This window comes from Homo sapiens, chromosome 8 (genome assembly GCF_000001405.40).
Source record: "Homo sapiens chromosome 8, GRCh38.p14 Primary Assembly".
In the NCBI taxonomy this organism is placed as follows: Eukaryota; Metazoa; Chordata; class Mammalia; order Primates; family Hominidae; genus Homo; species Homo sapiens.
In genome coordinates this window covers 65,764,460-65,787,648 of record NC_000008.11, presented here as the reverse complement: position 1 = coordinate 65,787,648, position 23,189 = coordinate 65,764,460, and the positions used below count along the sequence as shown (strand labels likewise).

At 37.2% G+C, this 23,189-nt stretch overlaps 2 protein-coding genes across 9 annotated transcripts in view; one reads left to right on the top strand and one right to left on the bottom strand.

Moving 5' to 3' along the window:
- Positions 1-23,189, top strand: part of PDE7A (phosphodiesterase 7A) — a 127,731-nt gene that overhangs the window by 54,416 nt on the left and 50,126 nt on the right. For all 4 annotated transcript variants that reach the window (NM_001242318.3, XM_011517540.4, XM_017013538.3 and 1 more), the window contains 2 exons: positions 4,806-4,866; positions 7,846-7,929. In NM_001242318.3, coding sequence (NP_001229247.1) covers positions 4,806-4,866; positions 7,846-7,929 — 145 coding nt within the window. The remainder of the gene's footprint in view (positions 1-4,805; positions 4,867-7,845; positions 7,930-23,189) is intronic.
- MTFR1 (mitochondrial fission regulator 1) overlaps positions 9,051-23,189 on the bottom strand; it is a 134,710-nt gene continuing 120,571 nt past the window's right edge. For all 5 annotated transcript variants that reach the window (XM_006716484.3, XM_047422463.1, XM_011517626.3 and 2 more), the window contains one exon: positions 9,051-16,702. In XM_006716484.3, the coding sequence (XP_006716547.2) occupies positions 16,520-16,702 (183 nt within the window). In that variant the 3' untranslated portion in view covers positions 9,051-16,519. The remainder of the gene's footprint in view (positions 16,703-23,189) is intronic.

Here is a 23,189-nt window from a genome sequence, read left to right as displayed (position 1 = left end):
ATTGCCACCAAAAAATTAAATTGTTTTTAAACAAAAACAATGCTAATATTTTATTTTTAAAAAAACTGTTGAAAAAAGGAAGAAGAATGGGAAGGATACTGTTTGGTAGATCAGTGCAATATTTGAATACTTTAGGCACTCAAGTACAAGCATGTTTTTCTAGCATATGTAAGATGACTACTCTGAAAAAGCTCATTTTGCTATGTCAGAGGAAATTGACTTCACAACTTTGGCTGGGCTTCATCTTTTGCTATATTATTATTTTTTCGGTAATGTTGCCAAAAATTTTGTTCAGTGCTCCCGTGTTTAAGCCCTTTAACCATCAGTTTATGAATCTGCAAAATGGAACTAATAAAGCCTACCTTATAGAGATCTTGTGTGGGTTGAATGAGATTTTGTGCGAAAACACTTGGAACATTTTTTTGGCACAAGGAGCACAGCAAGTGTTAGTTAATATATTATCACTCTTACCGTGTAATGGAAATGGCACTTGCTTTTGCTAATAAATCATTTAGTGGAAAACTTGGAACAAAATAAAAACAATGACACTTAAAATATCTTTGCTGGGTTTTAAAACATGTCTGTCTTTAAAAGTTATGTATTAACTAATATTGGGAACAACTTTTACACCTTTTATCATTTACCTTCAAGTCAAATCTTTTGTGGAAGAATGATTCACCCTAATTCAAGGTGAGTCTTACCAGGGCACTCAGAACTCCTGTTAGTGAGGCAGTGGGTCCTTTGGTGCTTTACAGTTTAACTTGTTTGTGCTACTGCTGACAGTTTCTGATTAGCTCAGCCTCGCCCATGTTTTGACCTATACTAGTTCGCTTTACAAGCTGTTCCCAGGATGGCTAAATTAGAAAAGTCACGAGTAGAAGCCTCTCAGTTATTTCCATTCACTGGTGAAGTGAGGTGGGAATGTGGGTGATAGCTCTGAGAGTTTTATGACTGACAGTGTGACACAGGATTTTGATGAAATTTGTTTTACTGTTATTAAAAAGAAAATTCTAGTAGTATATGGTTTTTAAAATGATAATCTTTAAAGAAATCTTTTTTACATTTGCAGCAGTCTTATATAAAAGTAGATATAATTATTTTTAAAACAACATGATTCTAACACGGAGGTCAAATTTTTATTGTTAGAACTCATAATTTATAGTGTTTTTTCCAAAATGAGTTACTGTAGATTATTCTACCTTCCTACTTTAGATTATTCTACCTAGTGAGAGAACTTAATATTCATTTTAATTTTAATTCTTAAGTGGGTAGGTGAATGAATTATCACTCAGGATGTATTTGTTGATGGGTTCAGATATTTATTTTAAAGTCCATTCTTTAAAAACAGTTTTGGTCTCATTTGGATTTATTTCATAAAAGCTATGTCTTGTGGTTCAGTATAGCATTTAAGCTAAGTATTTGTAGACTAGCCTTACTTAAATTAGTACCTTATAATGAATAGAATAACTTGGATATTTTGCACAGACCTATGTAATTTGTATCTATTTTAAAATTAAACTCTGCCTTTTTTGCTTAAGAAATTAAGATTAATACAGACCCTACCATTTTAATATCTAAATTAGTGCTTCTATAAATGAGGCTAAAATGATTACCTTAGTTAAGTTTAGTATGCCATGGTGTTATCTAGACTATGCGCATTACCCAGTTTTTGACTTAATATTATTTTGTGATATTTAACAGAGAGCTAATATTGGTCAGTCTTTCACAATCCTTAATGTGTGAAGTGATAAATATTTTACCTTTCTAAATAGCAACTGTTATAGTAAATGCCCTTCCTACATTAAAAAAAAATCATAATAATAATGTCAACTCCCCTCCTAAAGAGAACTGTTAGAGATAACACCTTAAAATTTATTTTAACAAGTTATTTATCTGAGTTGTTACTGGACACCATCAAATTGATAGGTCATGACAAGTTATTACATAGTATCTGCAGTTTCATTAATTTGCTTTAGCTGATAGGAATATTTATTGCCACATATGCCCTTCCTAGGCTACTAGGTTTACCCCTAGATTGGTGGTATTGAGGAGAGACCTGTAATCTAGTAAGCTAAATATGTTGGGGAGGGGATTTGCACAGTAGCTGTGAGTGGTGCCTTTTTACAGTGGCTGTTTGCTCCAGAGTAAATACCATGAAACACTGCAGGAGGCTTCCTTAGGATATTCTATTAGTGGAAGACACTTTAAGCATGATGCCAGAAGTGTAGTCTATATGATTTGGTCCCTTGGGATTTAAGATCATGCTTTTCTTTGTAGTAGATTTTTATTTTACTTTTCAATTTTAATTTTATTTATTTTGTGAATATATGATAATTACACACACTGCAAGACTCAAAAAGTGCAAAGATAAACATTGAAAAGCCCCTCTCCTACCTCTGTATCCCTCAGCCTCCTTGGAGACACCCAGTGGTGATAGTTAGAATTTTATCTTTGTTTGAAATTTTTGTTCCTCTTATATTTCATGAACTGTGTTTTTTTAAGAACTTGTGAAATCATGTAAGATTTTAGTTGATATTTTTCTCTTAAAAGATAAGCATTAAGGATATAATAACTTAATGTTTTGGGTAGTTCTTTTGCACACTAAATCCAAGTGAGGGCTTTCAGTAAATTTTCAATATAATAATTGTAAAAAATGTGATTTTTTTTTTGGAGATTTGTAGGTATATGTTGAGGAGTTGTAAATCCCATGCCAGAGTTTTGTGAGGGAAGATGATCATTAATCTGATATGTAAAAATACAATCTCATTGCTTTAATATGTATTTCTTTAGTTAATGAAGTCAAGCATTTTTTTATATTTTTTTTAACCTTGTGAATAGTATATTTATGTCCTACCTGTTTTTCTACAGCTTTTTAGTCTTTTTCTAATTGATTTGTAAGACAGTTAAAATTTTTTTTTTTGGTGGGAGGATAGTAGAGGAAAATTAGCCCTTTGTCATATCAGTTGAACTCACTTTTCTGGGTTTGAAGTTTATCCTTTACTTTGTTTGTGATAACTTTTACCATCATAATTTAACTTTTAAGTGGCCAAATTTGTCAGTGTTTCATGACTTAGGGATTTTTATAGGACAGTTAGAAAGGCCTTCCTATCTAAGACTTTTTAAAATACAGTCCTGTTTTCTTTTAATATTTTCATGCTTTAATTTTTAACATATGAATCATTGTTCCATGTGTAATATATTTTGGAGCAGGAAGGTAATAATATAGCTTTATGTTTTTCTAGATAGCACCACTTAATCTAACATTATTTATTAAAAATCAGTATTTCCTCCACAGATTCTAAGTCCTGTATTTATCATATACAGAATCACTCTTGGATTTGCTTCTAGAGTCTCTATTGATTATTTTCTCTATTTCTTTGCAATGTCACACTACTTTGTTAATATCCCATGGTGCTAGTCCATTCCCCTCGCCCCTTTTTTTGAGACAGTCTCACTTTGTCTCTCAAGCTGAAGTGCAGTGGTGCCATCCTAGCTCACTGCAGCCTCCAACTCCTAGGCTCAAGGGATCCTCCTGCCTCAGCCTCCCAAGTATCTGGGATTACAGGTGTGTGCCACCATGCCTGGCCTATTACTACTTAAACTTTTTTTTTTGCTTGTTAATTCAACTGATTTTACTGATCACTTTTGACATGCTAGGCACTGTTCTAAATGTTGGGATCTATCCTAGATCTGGGAATATAGCAGTGACTGAAAACCCTGCCTCCACAGAGCTTAGATTTTATGTCTAAGCTCTGGTTTGATCAATTTTATCTTCCTCATTTTTAAATCTATCCTTATTTATATCCATTCTGTTAGTGACTAATTTATTCATCAATTTATTTATCAGTTATTATTAATTTGCAATAAGTCCATTTAGTCATTTATTTACCAAATTTTTATTTAGAACTTAACTAAATAATAGGTCCTGTTTTAGAGACCAGGGATGCAGTGATGACTAAGATAGACAAAGTTTCTGCTCTTGTGGAGCTTTTAGTAACACGCAGACAAGACAACTTCAGCTGTAGCTACACAGAGGACTGAGGTAGGGAGCTGTGGAAGGGGATGGCTTCTAGGTGGCTGTAGATTTGGTAGTCAGGGAATCCCTTTCTGAAGAGATGATGCTTTGTCTAGAAGCTGCATGGTAAGAAGGGAACAGTGAAGCAGTGATCCAGGATGAGGGAACAGCACTTGGAAAGGCTGTATATTTGGTGTAGATGAGGAAAAGCCAGGAGACCGGCTTGGCTGTCTCCTAGCAGTGGGGGAGGCCACAGTACAAGAGGGCAGGCAGGTCACAGATGACTCTCGAAAGTAACGTTTGGGGAGCCCCAAGTGTGATGGAGAGCCTTTGGAGGATTTTGAGCAGGAGCTGAAGTGCTTACTTTTGCTTTTATGTGAAGCATGGAATGGGGACCAAAGAGATGCAGCAGGAAAGCCAGTGGATTGTCCTTTCCTTTCTTTTCTATTAATATTTGGCAACTCCTATCGATCCCTTTTGAGTCAACACAGATGTCACCCCAAAACCTTTACTGACTTACTCAAACAGATTAAATTTCCAAAGAGAGGCTGCATGTGTCTCTCTTTGTATCCATTTTTATGGTAGTTCTTAACCATACTGTATTACAATTATTTGTCGTCCCCGTACCCCAGAGATTTCAAGAACAGGTACCATAGCTAATTTCATTTTGTGTATCCAACTTCTCTTGCACAGTGCTTCACAAATAATAAATGATGAATACATGTTTGTTGAGTTGAATTTTGTATCATATTTAATTGTCATGTATTATAATGTGTATTTTTTTTTCTAGAGGCGTGGAGCTATTTCCTATGACAGTTCTGATCAGACTGCATTATACATTCGTATGCTAGGTAAGCATTATTTATTTTATACCAATATCAGTTAATTTTGTTATTACCTGTTGTTATTTGAGTTTGAGGTATCTTTCATTAGATAGCTTTTCATCACTGTTTGTAGTAGAAATAACCTATTCATGGAGTTTAGAGTCTGGAAACCAATATTGAATGTGATGTGAATAAAGAGAGGCATTTTAGAGTTATAGGTAATTGAGAAATCTTTGGCCTAATAACTGGGACACTGTCATTAGTACACAGTTTCGAATTGCATCTTGAACATTCTTCATAGAAAATAGTCTTAGATTTGTAGAGTGGCTAAATACCAAATAGATGAATGCCAGCATGGACAAAGGTGAGGCTGTGAAACACCTGCTCAGATAGTCCTGTCACTAGATGTATTTTGTTCTCAGTTGGCTGGTAAGGAAGACCATTTGACTTCTTCTAGTTCTGGTGCTTAAATTTTTTATATATTAGTCAATTCCGCAAGGTAAAATGAATTTAGATATGTGCGTATATATGTCTAATTTTCTTTTTCTCTTTTTCTCTGTGCCAGATTTCTGTCTTCATCCATGTCTCCTTCATCCTTGCACTTTAACTCATATTATTAAACATGCATATTAAGATTCCAACAGGCAAATTTATTCATTTTTTGTTAGAAGTCTCTCCCACGACTCCTCCTCAGCTCAGAATTCCTCCCTCAACTTTATGATACTGATCCATCCTTATTCTTCACCTACTTTTGTTTTCTTCTTTGCCACCTTCACTAATTCCTTTTCATACTTTTAAGCTGAAGTGTTCCCCAGAGTTCTATTGTAACTCCTATTCCTTTTTGTCCTCTTTATTTTATCTTGTGTGTCTTACCTGCCTCAGTTCTTTTCTACTCCAGTACATATTTTTCCCCCACAAATGTGCAGCCTTTTTCTCCTTGCTGTCTCCATCTTTCTCTAACAAACATGTTCAGGATTCCGCTGTCCTTAAGACAGAGCTTTGGATTCATATTTTCTTTAACTCTGTAGAACATCTCCATGTAAATGTTATGGATACCTCAAACTTAACATGTCTAAAGCAAAACATTTGTGTTCCCCATGTCTGTGTTCTGCAGTCTTTTGCCATCTCAGTAAATATAACTCCACTCTTCCTGTCATCAGGTCAGAAACCTCAGAGTCATTTTTTTACTTCCTATTTCTTACACACTCCATATTGAATTCATCAGCAGATCCTACTGGTTGATACCTTTAAATACACCCAAATCTCACCACACCAATGCTGTTACCACCACATTTATTACTTACTCCTTAACTGGAGGCCCTGTGTCTACCTGTGTTCCCTGACTCTGTTCTCATCACACCTAGAGTGAACCTTTTCAGACATAATCATCTGACTCCTCTATTCAGAAGTCTCTGATGGCCACAAAGGTCCAGCATGATCTGACTCCACTGCCTCTCCACCCCACCCCCACCAGTTCCCCTCACTCACCTTGCTCCTGCCACGCCAGCCTCTTGCCTTGCCATTGACTGTGCCAAGCATGCTTCTGTCTTGGGGAGTTTTACACTGGCTCTTCCTCCCTGGCTCACTGCCTCACTTCCTGTAGGTCCCTGCCCAGATGCCTCCTTTTCAGTGAGGCCTTCTCTGACTGCACTAATGAGTCACCCTCCCCTGCTCCTCTCTCGCCATTCCTCTTACCTTTAGTTTTCTCCATGTAACTCATCATCTTCCATAGACTGAAATTTGGTATTTATTATTTGTGTCATCACACAAAAAGATAAGCTTCATGAGGACAGTGACAGGGACTTTATGTATTTTGCTCACTGCTTTATTTCCAGTGCTTGACATGTTAACATTTGTTGCAGCATGAAGGAATGGCCACAGGACAGGTGACTAGTCATTGTGGGATGGAATTATAGTCGATGAAGTGAGCCTTGGAGGAAGTCATGGTCCTACTCAGAGAAACAGAGTAAGCAGGAGTGCCCTCTAGGCAAGCCAAATTGCAAGAGCAAAGGGATAGAGGCTGAAGATTTAAAGGTTATGAACTTGGAGGCTGTAAAAGTGTAGTGAGAACAGTACTGTCTTTGGAACCCATGGAGCTGGGTTTAAATCCTGACTTACCCTTTGTACTAGCTTTGTGGCATGGAGCATGCTATTTAACTTCTCAAAGTCAAGTTTTTGAATCTGTAAAATGAGGATTAAGATTCCTATCTCTGAGGGTCGATGAGAGAAGAAAATAAAATAATGCCTGTAAAACACGAAAAAGAGTGTCTAGAACATGGTTGCTATGGTTATGTTGCTGTATAGAAAAATAAATCTGGAAGTAATGTGGGCACATGTAGGAACGACACTGAGCTTCCAAAGACCAAAGTTTAAGACTCAGCTAAAGGCCTTGGATGTACCCACTGTCAATGAGAAAAGAGTGATTAATCAGATTGACTTTAAAACAAAGTCTTTAACATTTTAAGTTTTTACACATCTATGAAATTGTAAACTGCTTAAAAATAAGTAATGTATTTTCCATTTTTCATATCCCTTTTAGCCCATAGTATAGTGCTAGGCACAGAGTCGGCTCTTAATAAATATGTTGCTTCTTTCTGCAGCTTTCTAAAGTTTTGTGCTGAGGATTTTCAACCTCCTGTAAAACAGATATTGCTTCCCAATGGCCTTTTTTTAAAAAAAAAAAAATGTTGCCCATGTGAATAATATATTAGGTCATCTTATCATACACTTGAATCCTCTTTCAGAAGGCTAACTTATTAAAATATAGATTATAATAATTATTATAGGGGTAGATTTAAAAAAAATCCTCCTCATTCAGCCTTACAATTAATTACTGAGATTTTGTGAACCCTTTTGAATAAATCAGCTCTTAACTACCTGTTCCACATATATGATCAGTGGGCTGTTACTTATGAATATGATACCACACGGACCTTTGTTGCATATGGAAGCTTCTTCCCGAATGACAACCTTCTAAACTTATGTTTTATTCTTGATTCTGTCCAGGAGATGTACGTGTAAGGAGCCGAGCAGGATTTGAATCAGAAAGAAGAGGTTCTCACCCATATATTGATTTTCGTATTTTCCACTGTAAGTGTTGGTAGACATGAAGTTTCTCGGATTTTCACTACAAATTTTAATAAAATTACACAGTTTTCCAAGGGAAAAAGAATACCAGAAAAAAAACTCTATTATGTTTGGAATGTTTTTAAAACCTAGGTCATGTAAATGACACTATTTCTAGGTAATCTTAGTAAATACTTAGAGACAATTAGAAGAGGAAGATACTAAAATATGAAAGTTGATATAGCTTTTCTCTTCTCCTCTAATTTATTACTTTTTTTTCTTTAAAAAGATTTTTTTAAGTTGTTTTATTCCAAATGGTTAGTCTTCACTACTTCAACTGAAATGTTTTTGTGCAAATGATATTTTATAAAGGTATTTCAGTAGTTTAACTTATCTTTTAGGTTTATTTGAAAATGTATATCACCTTTAAAGATGCTTGGTAGAATGCCTATTTCAAAAACAAGCATTCTTTGTGGATTTGGCCTATAGTGGAGGGAAAGGGGAAAAAACAGAACTTCTAAACACCTTAAATATTAAACATATTAAATCTGTTTCTGGAGGAGTTCCACTTTCAGTAATGTTAGCTAAAGTAATTTGGATTGATGCTCTAAAAAATGAGAAAACTATTCAAAATGTAAAAGACATGTATGTATTCAAATGTATCTGAATGCTATTGAGGCAGAGAGATAAGTCCAGAACTTCAGGCCACTTTTCTTCTTAATAGCATGTACTGATTCTGGGAAAGGTGGATTAGAAGATGGGCAGAGCTTTTTATGGACACTTAGGGATAGAGAAACAAAAACAGGTGTTTAGAGCCCAGCAAGGCTGGAAGGTTGGTGCTGGTAAACCATTCAGGCTTCGGTTGGAATCCTAAAGTGCTATGTCTTAGAAATAAATCCCAACTTTGAAATATCTCACTCACCGAATACATTAATGTGATCTGTGACTCATGTTTCTTGCCACCTGCAGGACAGAGATGTTACTCATCCCTTAAGTTTGCTAGCTGCAAACAGAGCCCTGGGACATGTCCTAGGCAGAGAGTAGTCAGGGCTTTGTATTCTTGAGACATCAGTAAGAATGTGTAGGGACACTCGGGGCCTCGGAGGAGGATTACCTCTCCCAGTAACAAATGACCCCAAAACTTATTGGCATAAAATAACCACTATTTTTAATGCTCATGATTCCGAGAATCAGGAATTCAGTCAGGGTATATATCAAGTTTGGCTTGCTTGTGCTCTACAGTGTCTTGGTCTTTGATTGGAATGGTTCAGACAGCTTAAAAATGGCTGGGATGGTGACACTGGAGCCTTATGTCCAGGGCCTTGGTCCATCTCATGTCATCTTCCAGGGCTGGAACCTCCAAGATGGCTTCTGCACTCTTAGGTGTGGTGCCAACATTTTTCTCTCTCCATAAATGGCAGTCTCAGGGAAGTCTTAGGGTAGTTGGACTAATTACATGGCAGCTACTTTCTCCCAGAGCAAGCATTTCAAGAAAGAGGAAGTGTGAGGACTCATAGTGTCTGAAGATCTGGGCCCAGACCCTGGCATAACATCGCATTTCCATATTCTGTTGATGAGCTGTGTCACACAGCTTGCTCAGGGTCATGGAGGGAAGACACAGCCCTCTCCCAACCCTGGTTGTCAAAGGGATGCAAGGTCAAAACCTTTTTAATCTCCCATCTGTAATCTGGCACAAAATGTTTTGAAAAAGTAATTAAGGTCCTAGAAGGAGAGGAGAGGGAAAAATGTAGCAGGAGCAGTCTTTAAAGAAGCAATGGCTGAGAAATCTCTAGAAGTTGGTAAAAGACATTAAGGGACAGATTCAGGAAGTATTATAAATCTCAAGCAGAGTAACATTAAAAGAAAATCACACCTAAGTGTACCAGAGTATAACTATGAAAACCAAAATCAAAGACAAAGAATTAAAAGTAATGAGGGGTAGTGGAGTATTACTTTCAAAGGAGCAATTATGAGATTGCCAGAAACAGATGGTTTCATTTTCCACAGAAACTAAAAAGGTAGAAGACAAAGGAAAAATAGCTCTGATGTGCTAGAAAAAAATAAACTGTCAAACTAAAAATATCATCCACAAACTCTGAAAAGGATACACTTCACAATTTGTTACGTAAGGCTAGCATGTAATCTTGATACTACAACATGACAAGGTTGTGGAAAGAACAAAAAATAACAGCCAAATCGCTCATGAATATAGAGGAAACATCCTAAATAACATATTATCAAATTATATCTATAACACAAAGGGAGAATTAATATATTTTGACCTAATTAGTATTTTTCCAGGAATATAAGATTGGTTTAACAGTGAAAAATCAATCAGTGTAATTCACTATATTAATAAAATAAAGGAGAAAAGTTGTGGCTCACGCTTGTAATCCCAGCACTTTGGGAGGCTGAGGCGGGCGGATCATCTGAGGTCGGGAGTTCGAGACCAGCCTGACCAACATAGAGAAACCCCGTCTCTACTAAAAATACAAAATTAGCCAGGCGTGGTGGTGCATGCCTGTAATCCCAGCTACTTGGGAGGCCGAGGCAGGAGAATCGCTTGAACCCAGGAGGCAGAGGTTGCGGTTAGCCAGGATTGCATTGCACTCCAGTCTGGGCAACAAGAACAAAACTCTGTCTCAAAAAAAAAAAAAAAAAAAAAAGCATTTGATAAAATTGAGTATTTGTTCTTTCTTATAATTCTGAGCAAGCTAGGAACAGAGAAAAACTTAAACAGTCTGAAACATTAGCTACAAAACCCATAGCAAACATCATATTTAATGCGCAATATTAAAACATTCTTTCTGCGATGAGAAATCAAGAATATCTTTCATCATCTTTCCTATTCAGTATTGTTTCAGAGGTTCTGGCCAGTATAGTAATGCAAGAAAAAGAAATGAAAAGTATAAGGACTAGAAAAGAAAAAGTATCATTTTTATGGATGACATAGTTATGTACTTAGAAAATTGTTAGGATTAATAAGTGAAGTTAGCAGTTTTCCTGGATACAAAGTCAGTACGTAGTGGGAGTTCTGTAAAGTAACAGTGACAAAATTAACATAATATATAATTTGAATTTGTATCAAGAAACATCAAATATGTAGGGATAAATCTAACTAAAGATATGTATAACTCTACATAGAAAACTGTAAGTGATTACATAGAAAAATTAAAGATAACTTAAATAGAAATATATATACTGTTATTTATGGATTGGAGGATTCAGTATTTAAAGATGCCAGTTTTTCTTCTTTCCTAAATTGATCTGTATAGGTTTAGTGAAATCACAGTGAAAAAATCCCAGCTCCAAGAATAGCCAAGACAATTAGGAAGAAGAATGAAATTATGGAGTTTACATCTCATAGATATCAAACTTATTATAAACAATAATAATTAAGTCAAGGTGATGTTAATTCAAGGACTGACAATAGAATAAAGGCATACTATAGAATCCAGAAATAACCCACACATATATGGATATTTGATTTGTGACAAGTGTGGTAATGAAGTAGGTAGAAGATAAATAATGCAATGGGTAGAAATAGCAATTTCACTAAATCAAGTGAATCTTGGACCCTGTTCACACCATGCATTAAAAAAAATCAAATTTTGGTTGATTAACTTTGCCAAATTATGCTGATAATTCAGGTAAGATGAGGAATGCTAAATCAATAACATTGATTTAGCAATGTGGATATGGTGTAGGGGAAGCCTGAAATTAAAGTGAATTTAAGAGAGAACAGAAAGATGGGAATTAGATATAGCAAGTATAAACAACTCTTTTAGAGACTTTTGCTACAAAGAAAAGGGAAGAGGCCGGGCATGGTGGCTCACGCCCGTAATCTAGCACTTTGGAAAGCCGAGGCAGGTGGATCACCTGAGGTCAGGAGTTTAAGACCAGCCTGGCCAACATGGTGAAACTCCATCTCTACTAAAAATAGTAAAAATTAGCCAGGTGCAGTGGTGCGTGCCTGTAATCCCAGCCACTCAGGAGGCTGAGGCAGGAGAATCACTCGAACCTGGGAGGCGGAGGTTGCAGTTAGCCAAGATCACACCACTTCACTCAAGCCTTGGCTACAGAGCGAGACTTCGTCTCAAAGAAAAGGGAAGAAATAAGAGAGGCAACTGACAGAGGACGTAGGATCACTGATACTAGAAATTAATAGCAAAGCTAGAAAACAAAAAGGCCTGGCCACCTGGAAATTTTTCAAATTCTGAAATAAGTACTTCTTGGGTCAAAGAGGTAGACCATAAAAACGTGATAATTAAAGACTAGATGGGAAAATCTATGAAATTCAGCTAATGCAGTGCTTGCAGGAAAATTCATAGCCTTAAAAAATACTTATATTCATAAATGAGAAAGAATGAAATAAGTCAACTAAGTAGTCCAACTCAAGAAATTAGAAAAATAATATCAAAATACACTAAGAAAAGATAAAGTAGTTGTTAAAGATAAAAAACAGCAATCAATGAACTAGTAAACTAAAATAAAAGTAGAACTCTGTAACTAAGAGCTGGTTGTTTGCAATAAAAGAGATAAGTTGCTAGCTAACTTAAAGATTGAATGGAGCTAACGTGCATACTCAAAAACTAAGAGGGGAAAACACCACAGATAAAGAGAAAATATAAGAATCGAAATGGACTATTTTGCTTGACCCCAAAAATATATTTGAACACTTGTATGATCCAGAAAATTTTCTTAAAAATTACAGTTTATCAGAACTGAATGTAGAAAACATAAATTAATCCAGCAGTACTTAAAGTGCGGTCTGTGAGGTTAAAACTATTTTCATCGTAATACTAAGATGTTATTTGCCTTTTTTGCTTTTATTCTCTCTCAAGGATACAGTGGAGTTTTCCAAGGCTGCATGATGTGTGATGTCTCAGTAAATTCAGTGTATTAGCAGATATGAGAAACAGCCGGACGTTTCTCATTAAATTTTTCTTTGTTTTGGAAAATATAGTTATTTTTAATAAAAATGTTATTTATGTTACATGTTATGGGTTTATAGTAATAAATTTTTTAAATAAATTTAAACAATATTTAGCCATTAGATATTTTCAAATAAATTTTGTTTTATATATTTTTAAATTAACTAAATATTTAAATATTAAAAATTTAATTTCTATGGTAAATACTTAATTTCTGTGGTAAATATTGATAGCTATAACCCATATAAAGTTAAAGTTATTTGGGTTGTCAATAATTTTTAAGAGTGCGAAAGACTCCTGAGAACCAATATGTTAGAGAAAGTTGTGTAAGAGTTATCTCTCTAAAAGCCTGAGGGCCAGAGAATTTTATAGGCAAATTATTTAAGATCTTTAAAAGATTGATGATTAGTTTCAAAGCTCTTTAAACTTTCTGATTATAAAGAGGGAACCATTCAGAGTAATTTTATAAAGCAAATATAACTTTTTATAATATTCTCACTATAAATGTCAGTACAAAAAATCTTTTAAAAATATTTATTAGCATGAGGATTTCCAACAGCACGAAAGAGTAATACTTCAGCGATAGTGGGGTTGTTTTAGAAAAGGAAGCAAGGATGATTCAATACATAGTTTTTCTGCAATAACGTAGCAGAAACTGATAACATTGGTTGCTTCCAGGATAGAAACTGGGTGGCTTGAGGAGATGGGAGGGGAAAGAAACTTAGTTGTAGACCTTTTGAATTTTGACTCATGTGAACGTATTGCTCATTGGAAAGTTTAAGTAAAAGTATGTTTTGGTATTGCAATAAATAAGGATTGGCTGTGGGTAAGGAAATCAGTAAAAGAGTTAAGTCTAAATATTGATATTTGTATAAAGAAATGTACAATTGTATTTGGAGTCTCCAGCCTACCCCCTAACATTCACTGAATTTAGTAAAATAAGAGAATTCGAAAAATATAACTGTTAGAAGTTTTAAATAGGGGGCATAATGGGACGTTTTAGTGGGAGAGGGACATTAAAAATGATTAGATTGTTAGAAGTATCTCTAATGAAATTAAAATAGGATATGTACTATCTAAATCACTAGGAAACCAGGAGCAAATAAAATAAATCTAAAAGACAAGAGAAGGAAGACCAAACATATCAATGTTAGTAATAAAGATAAATGGGTTAAATATTCCTTTTAAGAGATAAAGAAGGTCAAATTGGATAATAAATGAAACTTAATGACAAAAAAATGGTTCAAATTAATATGAAGCAGAACCGGGCTTGAGGTTTTGGTATCTATACTTATATCCTGATCCAGTGATGTGGAAGCTTTGTAGTATGGTATTTAGAACACTGGAGGCAGCTCAGTGTTAAGAGCAGCAGATTATCCTCTCGATCTCATCATGCTGTTCATAAAAGGTGACAAATGTGTAAGTTGTAGTTGAAAATGGACTCTTGCTATAGACTTGGTCCTATAGTTATTACAAAACAAGAATATGTCTCTTTAAGCCACCATGGTAATATAATTTAGAGGAGTTTTTTTTAATAGAGAAAAATGCATTATTCTTTGCTGCTTATAATAGGTTCTGCTTATCACACAGCTTGGAATTCTTTTTGAAATTGTAATCTAGTGTGTTTTGTGAAATGTGATCTAATCAGAGAAATGAGCACGTGCTCCTGCTATGACTAAAATCTGTTAGTCATCTTCAGGCCTTCCCTTCTTCCACTGACTCCTCTGATTGTCCTAAACATTAGCCTGAACTTGTTCTCTGCAGGAGTTAGCTTACAAAACTTTTTCTTAATTTTTTTTTTTGAGACAGAGTCTCAATCTGTCGCCCAGGCTGGAGTGCAGTGGCACGATCTCAGCTCACTGCAGCCTCCGTCTCCCAGGTTCAAGTGATTCTCCCACCTCAGCCTCCCAAGTAGCTGGGATTACAGGTGTGTGCCACCACACCTGGCTAATTTTTTTTTGTATTTTTATTAAAGATAGGGTTTCACCATATTGGTCAGACTGGTCTTGAACTCCTGACCTCAAGTGATCTGCCTGCCTTGGCCTCCCAAAGTGCTGGGATTACAGGCATGAACCACCGCACCTGGCCAGTTTAACCCTAGGCTTGAGTTTATGCACAGTAAAGTTGAGCTGCCTTGGACTTAATGACCAGGAGGATTATCCTTCTTTTATTTCCAGTTATGAATCTTAAGGTTTCTTCCTTGTGGGGTATTTCCTTTCTCCCTTGCACTAGTTGAAGATATCAGTAGTTTATTTACCTGGAGGCAAAGTTGTCCTTTTTTACCCCTCTTCTTCCCTGTGAAGTTCCTTGGATTAGGAATTTGTGATTTATGCCACAAACCCATTCACTTCCTATAATCTCAGACTTGGCAAAGATACAAACACTAAAGCAACCTTGCAGGATGTGTTTAAACCTTCAGAGGTACTGAAGCTTTGAAAGACTATAATGTGCCCTCTACCTTGTATAGAATTAAAAATAAGACTATTTTCCCTAATGATACAAAAATTTACATGCATGCTGAAATAAAAATAGTTTCTAGGTGTTCTGATTGCAAAATTCTGGATATGTGTATTAAATTCATTAAAGCTAGAATGTTCTCTGCTTACAGCTCCTCAACCCACTTATTTTCTGCACCTGTTTACTTTTATCCTAAACTCACTGTTAATTTCCCTGTTGTAAAATTGTTGTCTCTTTCTGTTCTTTCATTGCTTAAATCCAGTCTCATTAAATCCTTTGGGTTTTTGTATGCTTACATAGCCTATTCTATTCATCTCTTTTCTGCCTCGTTATCTCTTATTCTCCTTGAACCAGTCATTTATCACCACTGTCTGAGGTTGTTCTGGTATTCTCCTAACTAACCGTTATCCCTGCTTTCAGGATATTTCCTTCTTTCTTCTTCTTCTTTTTTTTTTTTTTTTTTTTTTTGAGAGATGGAGTCTCGGAGTCTCGATCTGTTGCCCAGGCTGGAGTGCAGTGGCTCAATCGTGGCTCACTGCAGCCTCCACCTTCCAGGTTCAAGCGATTCTCCTGCCTCAGCCTCCCAAGTAGCTGGGATTACAGGCACCCACCACCACGCCTGGCTAACCTTTGTATTTTTAGTAGAGATGGGGTTTCACCATGTTGGCCAGGCTGGTCTCGAACTCTTACCTCAGGTGATCCGCCCGCCCTGGCCTCCCAAAGTGCTGGGATTACATGCGTGAGCCACCGCGTGAGCCACTGCGTGCGCCCAGCCAGGATTATCTGTTCTTTGATCCATCCTCTACCCTTTACCCAGGGTCAGGTCTTTTTAAAGAGAGAGAGAGCTTAAAATATAGAGGGAGATCGATATCAACAGGTTAAAGACATATGATATTAGTGTTATTTATTAAAACTATTCATAATTTTTTAATTTCTTCTATGTGCTGTATCTGTGGGTGCTGCTGAATTTTTTTTTAGATGTTGAAATATTTTTAACTTATTTCTGGAGTGTGATTTTCTCCATGTTGAACATATTCTGTTTACTAAATTTACCTAGAAATTAGACATCTATATTGCAATATTGAACTTTTCTTTTAAGATTTTTTATATGTACAGTTTATTATAAGCAACGTTTGGGTTTATATTATGAAGATACATTCTCCTGTGAGCCAGCTGATATCTAAGATACCTGACCAGTTAAGGAGCAATTATAGGCCTCAAAATTAACAAAAGAAGGACCTCAACCATTTTATTATGTAGATGCCACAATATTTCCTACCATGAATTATTGTGGTTTGGATTGTTTTTGTCATAGTCCTTATTCTCTTAAGGCTTATAAATTTATCTTCAGTAGGATTTGCCATAGGCCTTCTTGTCCAGCAGGTTCTGACTTTAACGAGTCTTTTCTGAAAGGGTATGAAGAGGCAAAAGAAGAAAATCAGTTGAGCACAGAAACACATTAAACACAAGAAACAATGCTAAACCTCACATCTAAACAAATTCCTATCAAATTTAGAAACTTAGGCAATCAGCTAAGGAGCTGGTGGAAGAAGTTCAAATTGTTACAGGCTTTCTGGAGGGCAGTTTGGTAATATGTATCACCTTTAAACTTTTTTTCTCTTTGATTTCACCACTAGAAATGTATGCAAATGGAGTCATCATATATAAATGTTAATGTATGTGCAAAGACATTCACTTTCACCTTGTTTATAATAGGAACATGTATTAAGTTATGGTGTTATTCACTGAAGTGTTTAGAGGTTGATATGGTTTGGCTGTGTCCCCTCCCAAATCTCATCTTGAATTGTAGCTTCCATAATTCCCATGTGTTCTGGGAGGGGCCCAGTGGGAGGTAATTGAATCATCAGGGCAGTTCTCCCCCATACTGTTCTCGTGGTAGTGAATAAGTCTCACGAAATCTGATGATTTTATAAGAGGTTTCCCTTTTGCTTGGCTCTCATTCACCCTTGCCTGCTGCCAGGTAAGACGTGGCTTTTGCCTTCTGCCCTGATTATGAGGCCTCCCCAGCCACATGGAACTGTGAGTCCATCAAACCTCTTTTTCTTTATAAATTACCCAGTCTCAGGTATGTCTTTATCAGCAGCGTTGAAAACAGACTAATACAGAGGTGAAGGACTAGAGTGCTTATAACCTACCCTCAAATGTTCAGAAAAAAGAATTAGGTGTGGCACACACACACACACACACACACACACACACACACACACACAGAAGTATACTGCAAGTAATAAGACAAATGTTAACAATGCATATCTGAGAATAGAGTGTTCTTTATACTATTTATTTTTGTAACTTTTTGTATGTGTTTTGAAATTATCTCTGGACAAAAATTTTTAAGAGTATGGTATTATGAAATTATTCACCTAATTAAAAATCACGGGTTTATACTCAGATCACATATTTGTGGGGTTTTTCTGTTTTGTTTTTGTTTTTTTGAGACAGAGTTTCACTCTTGTCACCCAGGCTGGAGTGCAATGGCACAATCTTGGCTCATTGCAATCTCCACTTCCTGGGTTCAAGCAATTCTCCTGCCTCAACCTCCTGAGTAGCAAGGATTACGGGCAATCACTACCATGCCCGGCTAATATTTGTATTTTCAGTAGAGACGGGGTTTCACTATGTTGGCCAGGCTGGTGTCAAACTCCTGACCTCAAGTCATCTGCCTGCGTCAGCCTCCCAAAGTGCTGGGATTACAGGTATGAGCTACCGCACCCAGTCTAGATCACATATTTGTTAATTAACTGAAATTTAGGCCAGTTCTGTAGTTATTTATAAAGAGCCGAGAGAGTTCAAGCTTTGGGAAGACATTTTGAAACTAACTTGTATTCGTGGTTACACAAGATAGAGGGATTTTGATGATTACGAATTCTTCTAGCCAAGAAGTAGTTTCTCAAAGATCTGGTACAAATATGCTCTCAGGGTTAGTTTGGCAGCTTTGTTGCAATGATTCTGATTTAATCAATAAATTCTGTAATTTTTAAGTTAAGTCATTTCTCAGATGGCCGTATCATGCAGACTTTCATAACAATTTTTTAAAAAAAATATGTGCATGCATCTGTTACTTTTTTTTTTTTTTTTTTTTTTGAGACTGAGTCTTGCTCTGTCACCTAGGCTGGAGTGCAGTGGCGTGATCTTAGCACACTGCAACCACCAACTCCCTGGTTCAAGCAATTCTCATGCCTCAGCCTCCCAAGTAGCTGGGATTACAGGCGCCTGCCATCACGCCCGGCTAATTTTTGTATTTTTAGTAGAGACGGGGTTTCACCATGTTGGCCAGGCTGGTCTTGAACTCCTGACCTCAAGTGATCTGCCTACCTCAGCCTTCCAAAGTGCTGGGATTACAGGTGTGAGCCACCTCGCCTGGCCATGTCTGTTACTTTTAGTGGGCTCTTCATGCCAGAATAAAAAAATTTCCTCAGATAGCATCTGTCACTAAAGAAGTTTTCTGATGCATTCTTGACCTTTTTGTATTATTTTTGATTATATCTTTTATTATCTATTATTCTAGCACAGAAGGTAATATTTATCATACATATTTACATAGTTTATGAGTTTGAGAAAGGGATTTTTTACATAAAGAAGTCATTGTTAACATCACTTTAGGATGACCAGAAACATTCTTGGAGTATTTTCTTGAAATAGTATTTTCTTCTCTGGGAAATGTTCTATTTTGTGATTAAAAGAGAATACAAGTATCAGTAAGAATTTGTATTAGTCTGTTTTTACGCTGCTGATAAAGACATTCCAAGATTGGGCAATCTACAAAAGAAAGAGGTTTATTAGACTTATAGCTCCACCTGGCTGGGGAGGCCTCACAATTACGGCCGAAGGTGAAAGGCACATCTCACATGGCAGCAGACAAGGCAAGAGAGGTTGTGCAGGGAAACTCCCCTTTTTAAAACCATGAGATCTCCTGAGACTTATTCACTATCATGAGAATTAGCACCCCCATGATTCAACTACCTCCTACCAGGTCCCTCCCACAACACATGGGAATTGTGGGAGTTACAATTCAAGATGAGATTTGGGTGGGGGCACAGCCAAACCATATCAGAATTATACTAGTGGCTTGTGTTAAGAGATTTGGAATATTTTAGCTCATTAAAGATACTGTTTAAATTTGTGGATGCTCACTGTGTAGGAAAAACCCTCAAACTGTGTTTTCCCTCTGCTCTCACACCACCATGGCAGTCATCAACACAGAAGACTTCTGTGACCAAATGTGTGGAGGGGTTTCTCCCAACACACCAAGCGGTGGACACCAACTGGGTGTCCTCTAATTCAGTTCCAACACTGTCTACCTGGAGGGAGTGTCAGACCCCACAGGTTAAGGGCTCAGTTCCTAAACCTGCCTCCCAGCCCCCAAAACCCAGACACCAGTCACAAGTCCTGGCCTCTGGAACTTCTGACCGACCAGCTTCAGGTTGCGGTTCCCAGGACCCTCTTTTTGGGTTGGATTAATTTGCTGGAGCAGCTCACAGAATTCAGGGAAACACTTATATTTACCAGTTTATTATCAAGGATATTGCAAAGGATCCAGATGAAGAGATGTGTAGGGTGAGGTATGGGGGAAGGGGTGCAGAACTTCCATGCCTTCCCTGGGACGCCACCCTCCAAGAAACTCTACATGTTAAGCTATGTGGAAGCACCCAGAACCCAGTCCTCTTGGGTTTTTATGAAAGCTTCTTGAGGTCAGCATTCCTTCCCCCAGATTCCCCCAGGGTATGGGGCAAGACCCTCTCTGGGGAGAGTCTTAAGACTCACAGTCAGAAAGGCCAGGGAAGATTGAAACAGGTGAAAGGAGGATAGGAGAATATTGGAGAGATTGTTTCCTTAGGCCTAACACACCCAACGTTTTAATAAAAGACTGTAACAAGGGATATAGGAGTTAGCCTGGGACTGTGGATGAAAACCAATATATACATCATAATACTACACTCCCATTAGTTAAAAACTTTTATTCAACCTGATAGAAGGACTGTGGTTGCTTATACAACAGAAAGCACAGTCTCTGGTCATGCAGTTGGAAATGTATCATGACAACTAATCCATAAACGTTCATACTATGCTGGTCATTGATGATTTATTTACGTAACAAAAATCTGAGGTTCATGCTTCATGTTTAACCTCTTTGCCCTGTGTCTGTCCCCCAAAGCTGTGCATGCAATCCTGTGTTGGTGTTGAGGGCTACAAGATTAGCCACAAATAAAGGATCTAATTCTTCTAAGTGTATGACGTATTTAATATATACCTTTTTTAAAAAACAAGATTCAGTTGGATGTAGTGGTCCAGGCGTTGTTGTTGTTGTTGTTGTTGTTGTTGTTGTTGTTTTGAATGAGCAGACTTATTTCTGACAAATATTTAAACTGAAAATGTTGGCATTAATACTTTTCCAAGACCCATTGAGAAACTTCCTCAACTCTCATCCCATTTTAAAAAGATTCCTAATCCTCAGACCTGCCCTATATCTAAGTATTACACCCATTAAGGTACAGATTTGTGGTCCTCCTGCATTTAATTAACTGATTCTTGATGCCCTTTCATTCAGCTAACGTTAACCTGTTTGGTCTCCTGACTGATGCTGGGAAAATTTAAGTTTGAGGCACTTAATAACAATGAGCAATGGGTAGCCCCAACAAATTGGGAGGAAAAGATAATGGAGGAAGAGGAGAGAGGGAGAAATAGAGAGAGGGTGATGCATGGGAGAGAGGAAGAGACTGACGTCAATGCTGGGCTGACCATAGAGTGGTTTACACTGAAAGGTGCCCAGAGCTTTCTACGTGTTCTAACAGGCTCCCTTGCTCCTAAGCATCATTTTTTACTATGGCAGCGTCTCCTTACTAGGCTTCTCAAGTTCCTGCTTTCATTCAACTCCATAAAGATAACCAGGAGGCTCCTTGTTTAGTTTCACTCTTTTGAGTAAGTAACTTCAGTCAGCTAAAGTAAGAGTCGCAAATATTCCTACAGAGATTTTCCTCTGTTCAATTAGCCATATACTTGGTCTCTTGAAATAAGATATTTTGAGTCCTAAATTAAGTGAACACGAAATAAATTCCATATTGATTTTTTTGTCAAAAATTCATCTCGGCTGGGCATGGTGGCTCACGCCTGTAATCCCAGCACTTTGGGAGGCCAAGGCGGGTGGATCACCTGAGGTCAGGAGTTCAAGACCAGCCTGGCCAACATGGCGAAACCCCATCTCTACTAAAAATACAAAAATTAGCTGGGCGTGGTGGCGGGCGCCTGTAATCCCAGCTGCTCGGGAGGCTGAGGCAGGAGAATGGCATGAACCCAAGAGGCGGAGGTTGCAGTGAGTTGAGATAGTGCCACTGCACTCCAGCCTGGGTGACAGAGTGACACTCCATCTCAAAAAATAAATAAATAAAATTTCATCTCTTTTCTGCTCTAAATTTGTCTCTAAACTTAATAAATCATTCTTTAGTTACACATTATTTTTAACGTATAAGAGATACTAATGTCTTAAACATTAAAGAATTATTATAATCCCATTATGCATGCCCATTAGAATTTCTAGTCTGATGTGTTCTTTTGAACAATTCTGGCATGATTATTAAATAGTAATGGAAGTTGTCAGCTTGACAGTTCTTTTCATGGAATTTGCCAAAGCTCATTGACGTCATCCAGACTGGAGGGCCTGGTCTCTCTGCCAACATCCAGCAAGATGTAATACAAGGAATATGTTTTCTTTCAGTGTTTCTCATGTCAACACAAATGCAGTTTTTTCCATTTTCTTTTTACTCTTGGGACACAGTCATGTTCCAGTCCATGTAAGCATGTTTCGCCCATTATCTTTTTTTTTTTTTTTTTTTTTTTTTTTTTTTTGAGACGGAGTCTCGCTCTGTCGCCCAGGCTGGAGTGCAGTGGCGGGATCTCGGCTCACTGCAAGCTCCGCCTCCCGGGTTCACGCCATTCTCCTGCCTCAGCCTCCCGAGTAGCTGGGACTACAGGCGCCCGCCACTACGCCCGGCTAATTTTTTGTATTTTTAGTAGAGACGGGGTTTCACCGTTTTAGCCGGGATGGTCTCGATCTCCTGACCTCGTGATCCGCCCGCCTCGGCCTCCCAAAGTGCTGGGATTACAGGCGTGAGCCACCGCGCCCGGCTCGCCCATTATCTTGAGCTCTGTATTCATTTTAACAGTTAACTTCATCCCATGCTAGGGCAGCAGGGGGACCTTTCAGGATATTTACATTGTAGCCTATAAGCTCTTCACTTTAGGCTTTTAGTTTTATTCATCTTTTTATTTCTGGTCTCTGGCAGCTTCTGGCTCATAGTAGAGACTGAGTATATTTTTATTGCATTGAATTGACTATGGCTGTGTATCTCCTACAGTTAGATTTTACAGGGGCCTGTTTGTAGTTCTCTCCATATAATCTGTATTAACTGTTAACCAAGTTCAGGCTGGTTGCTGCCTTTCTGTTGAATCATGTGTCTCATATTGTCTTTATTACAATGACTGTATGAAAGCATACAGAATTTTCCCTAAATTTCGCTTAGTTCCTCATGTGTATTTGATTTGGAGTTGTTTCCTGTTTTTCTGATAAGACTGTGTTAGACTTTGATTATTTGTTTCATACTTAGTTGTATTATGACATGAAAGAAGATGTTTCTTAAAAGCTCATATCGTACTGATTATATTGTCTTAGTTTATCTCAGTCTTTAATATCTAGTAACTCCCATACAAGGGTAGATTCTGTTATATTTGGAAGCTTTTAGTGCTTTTCCCCTTTTCTTTAGGTGTACAAATAGTTTGCTCAGCATTTCCCTCAGCCATGCAGCTTTCTTCATTATAGTATTTTTCTCTTATCTAACTTTCATACTGTACTGCATGGTCATTAGTTTCCTATTCACA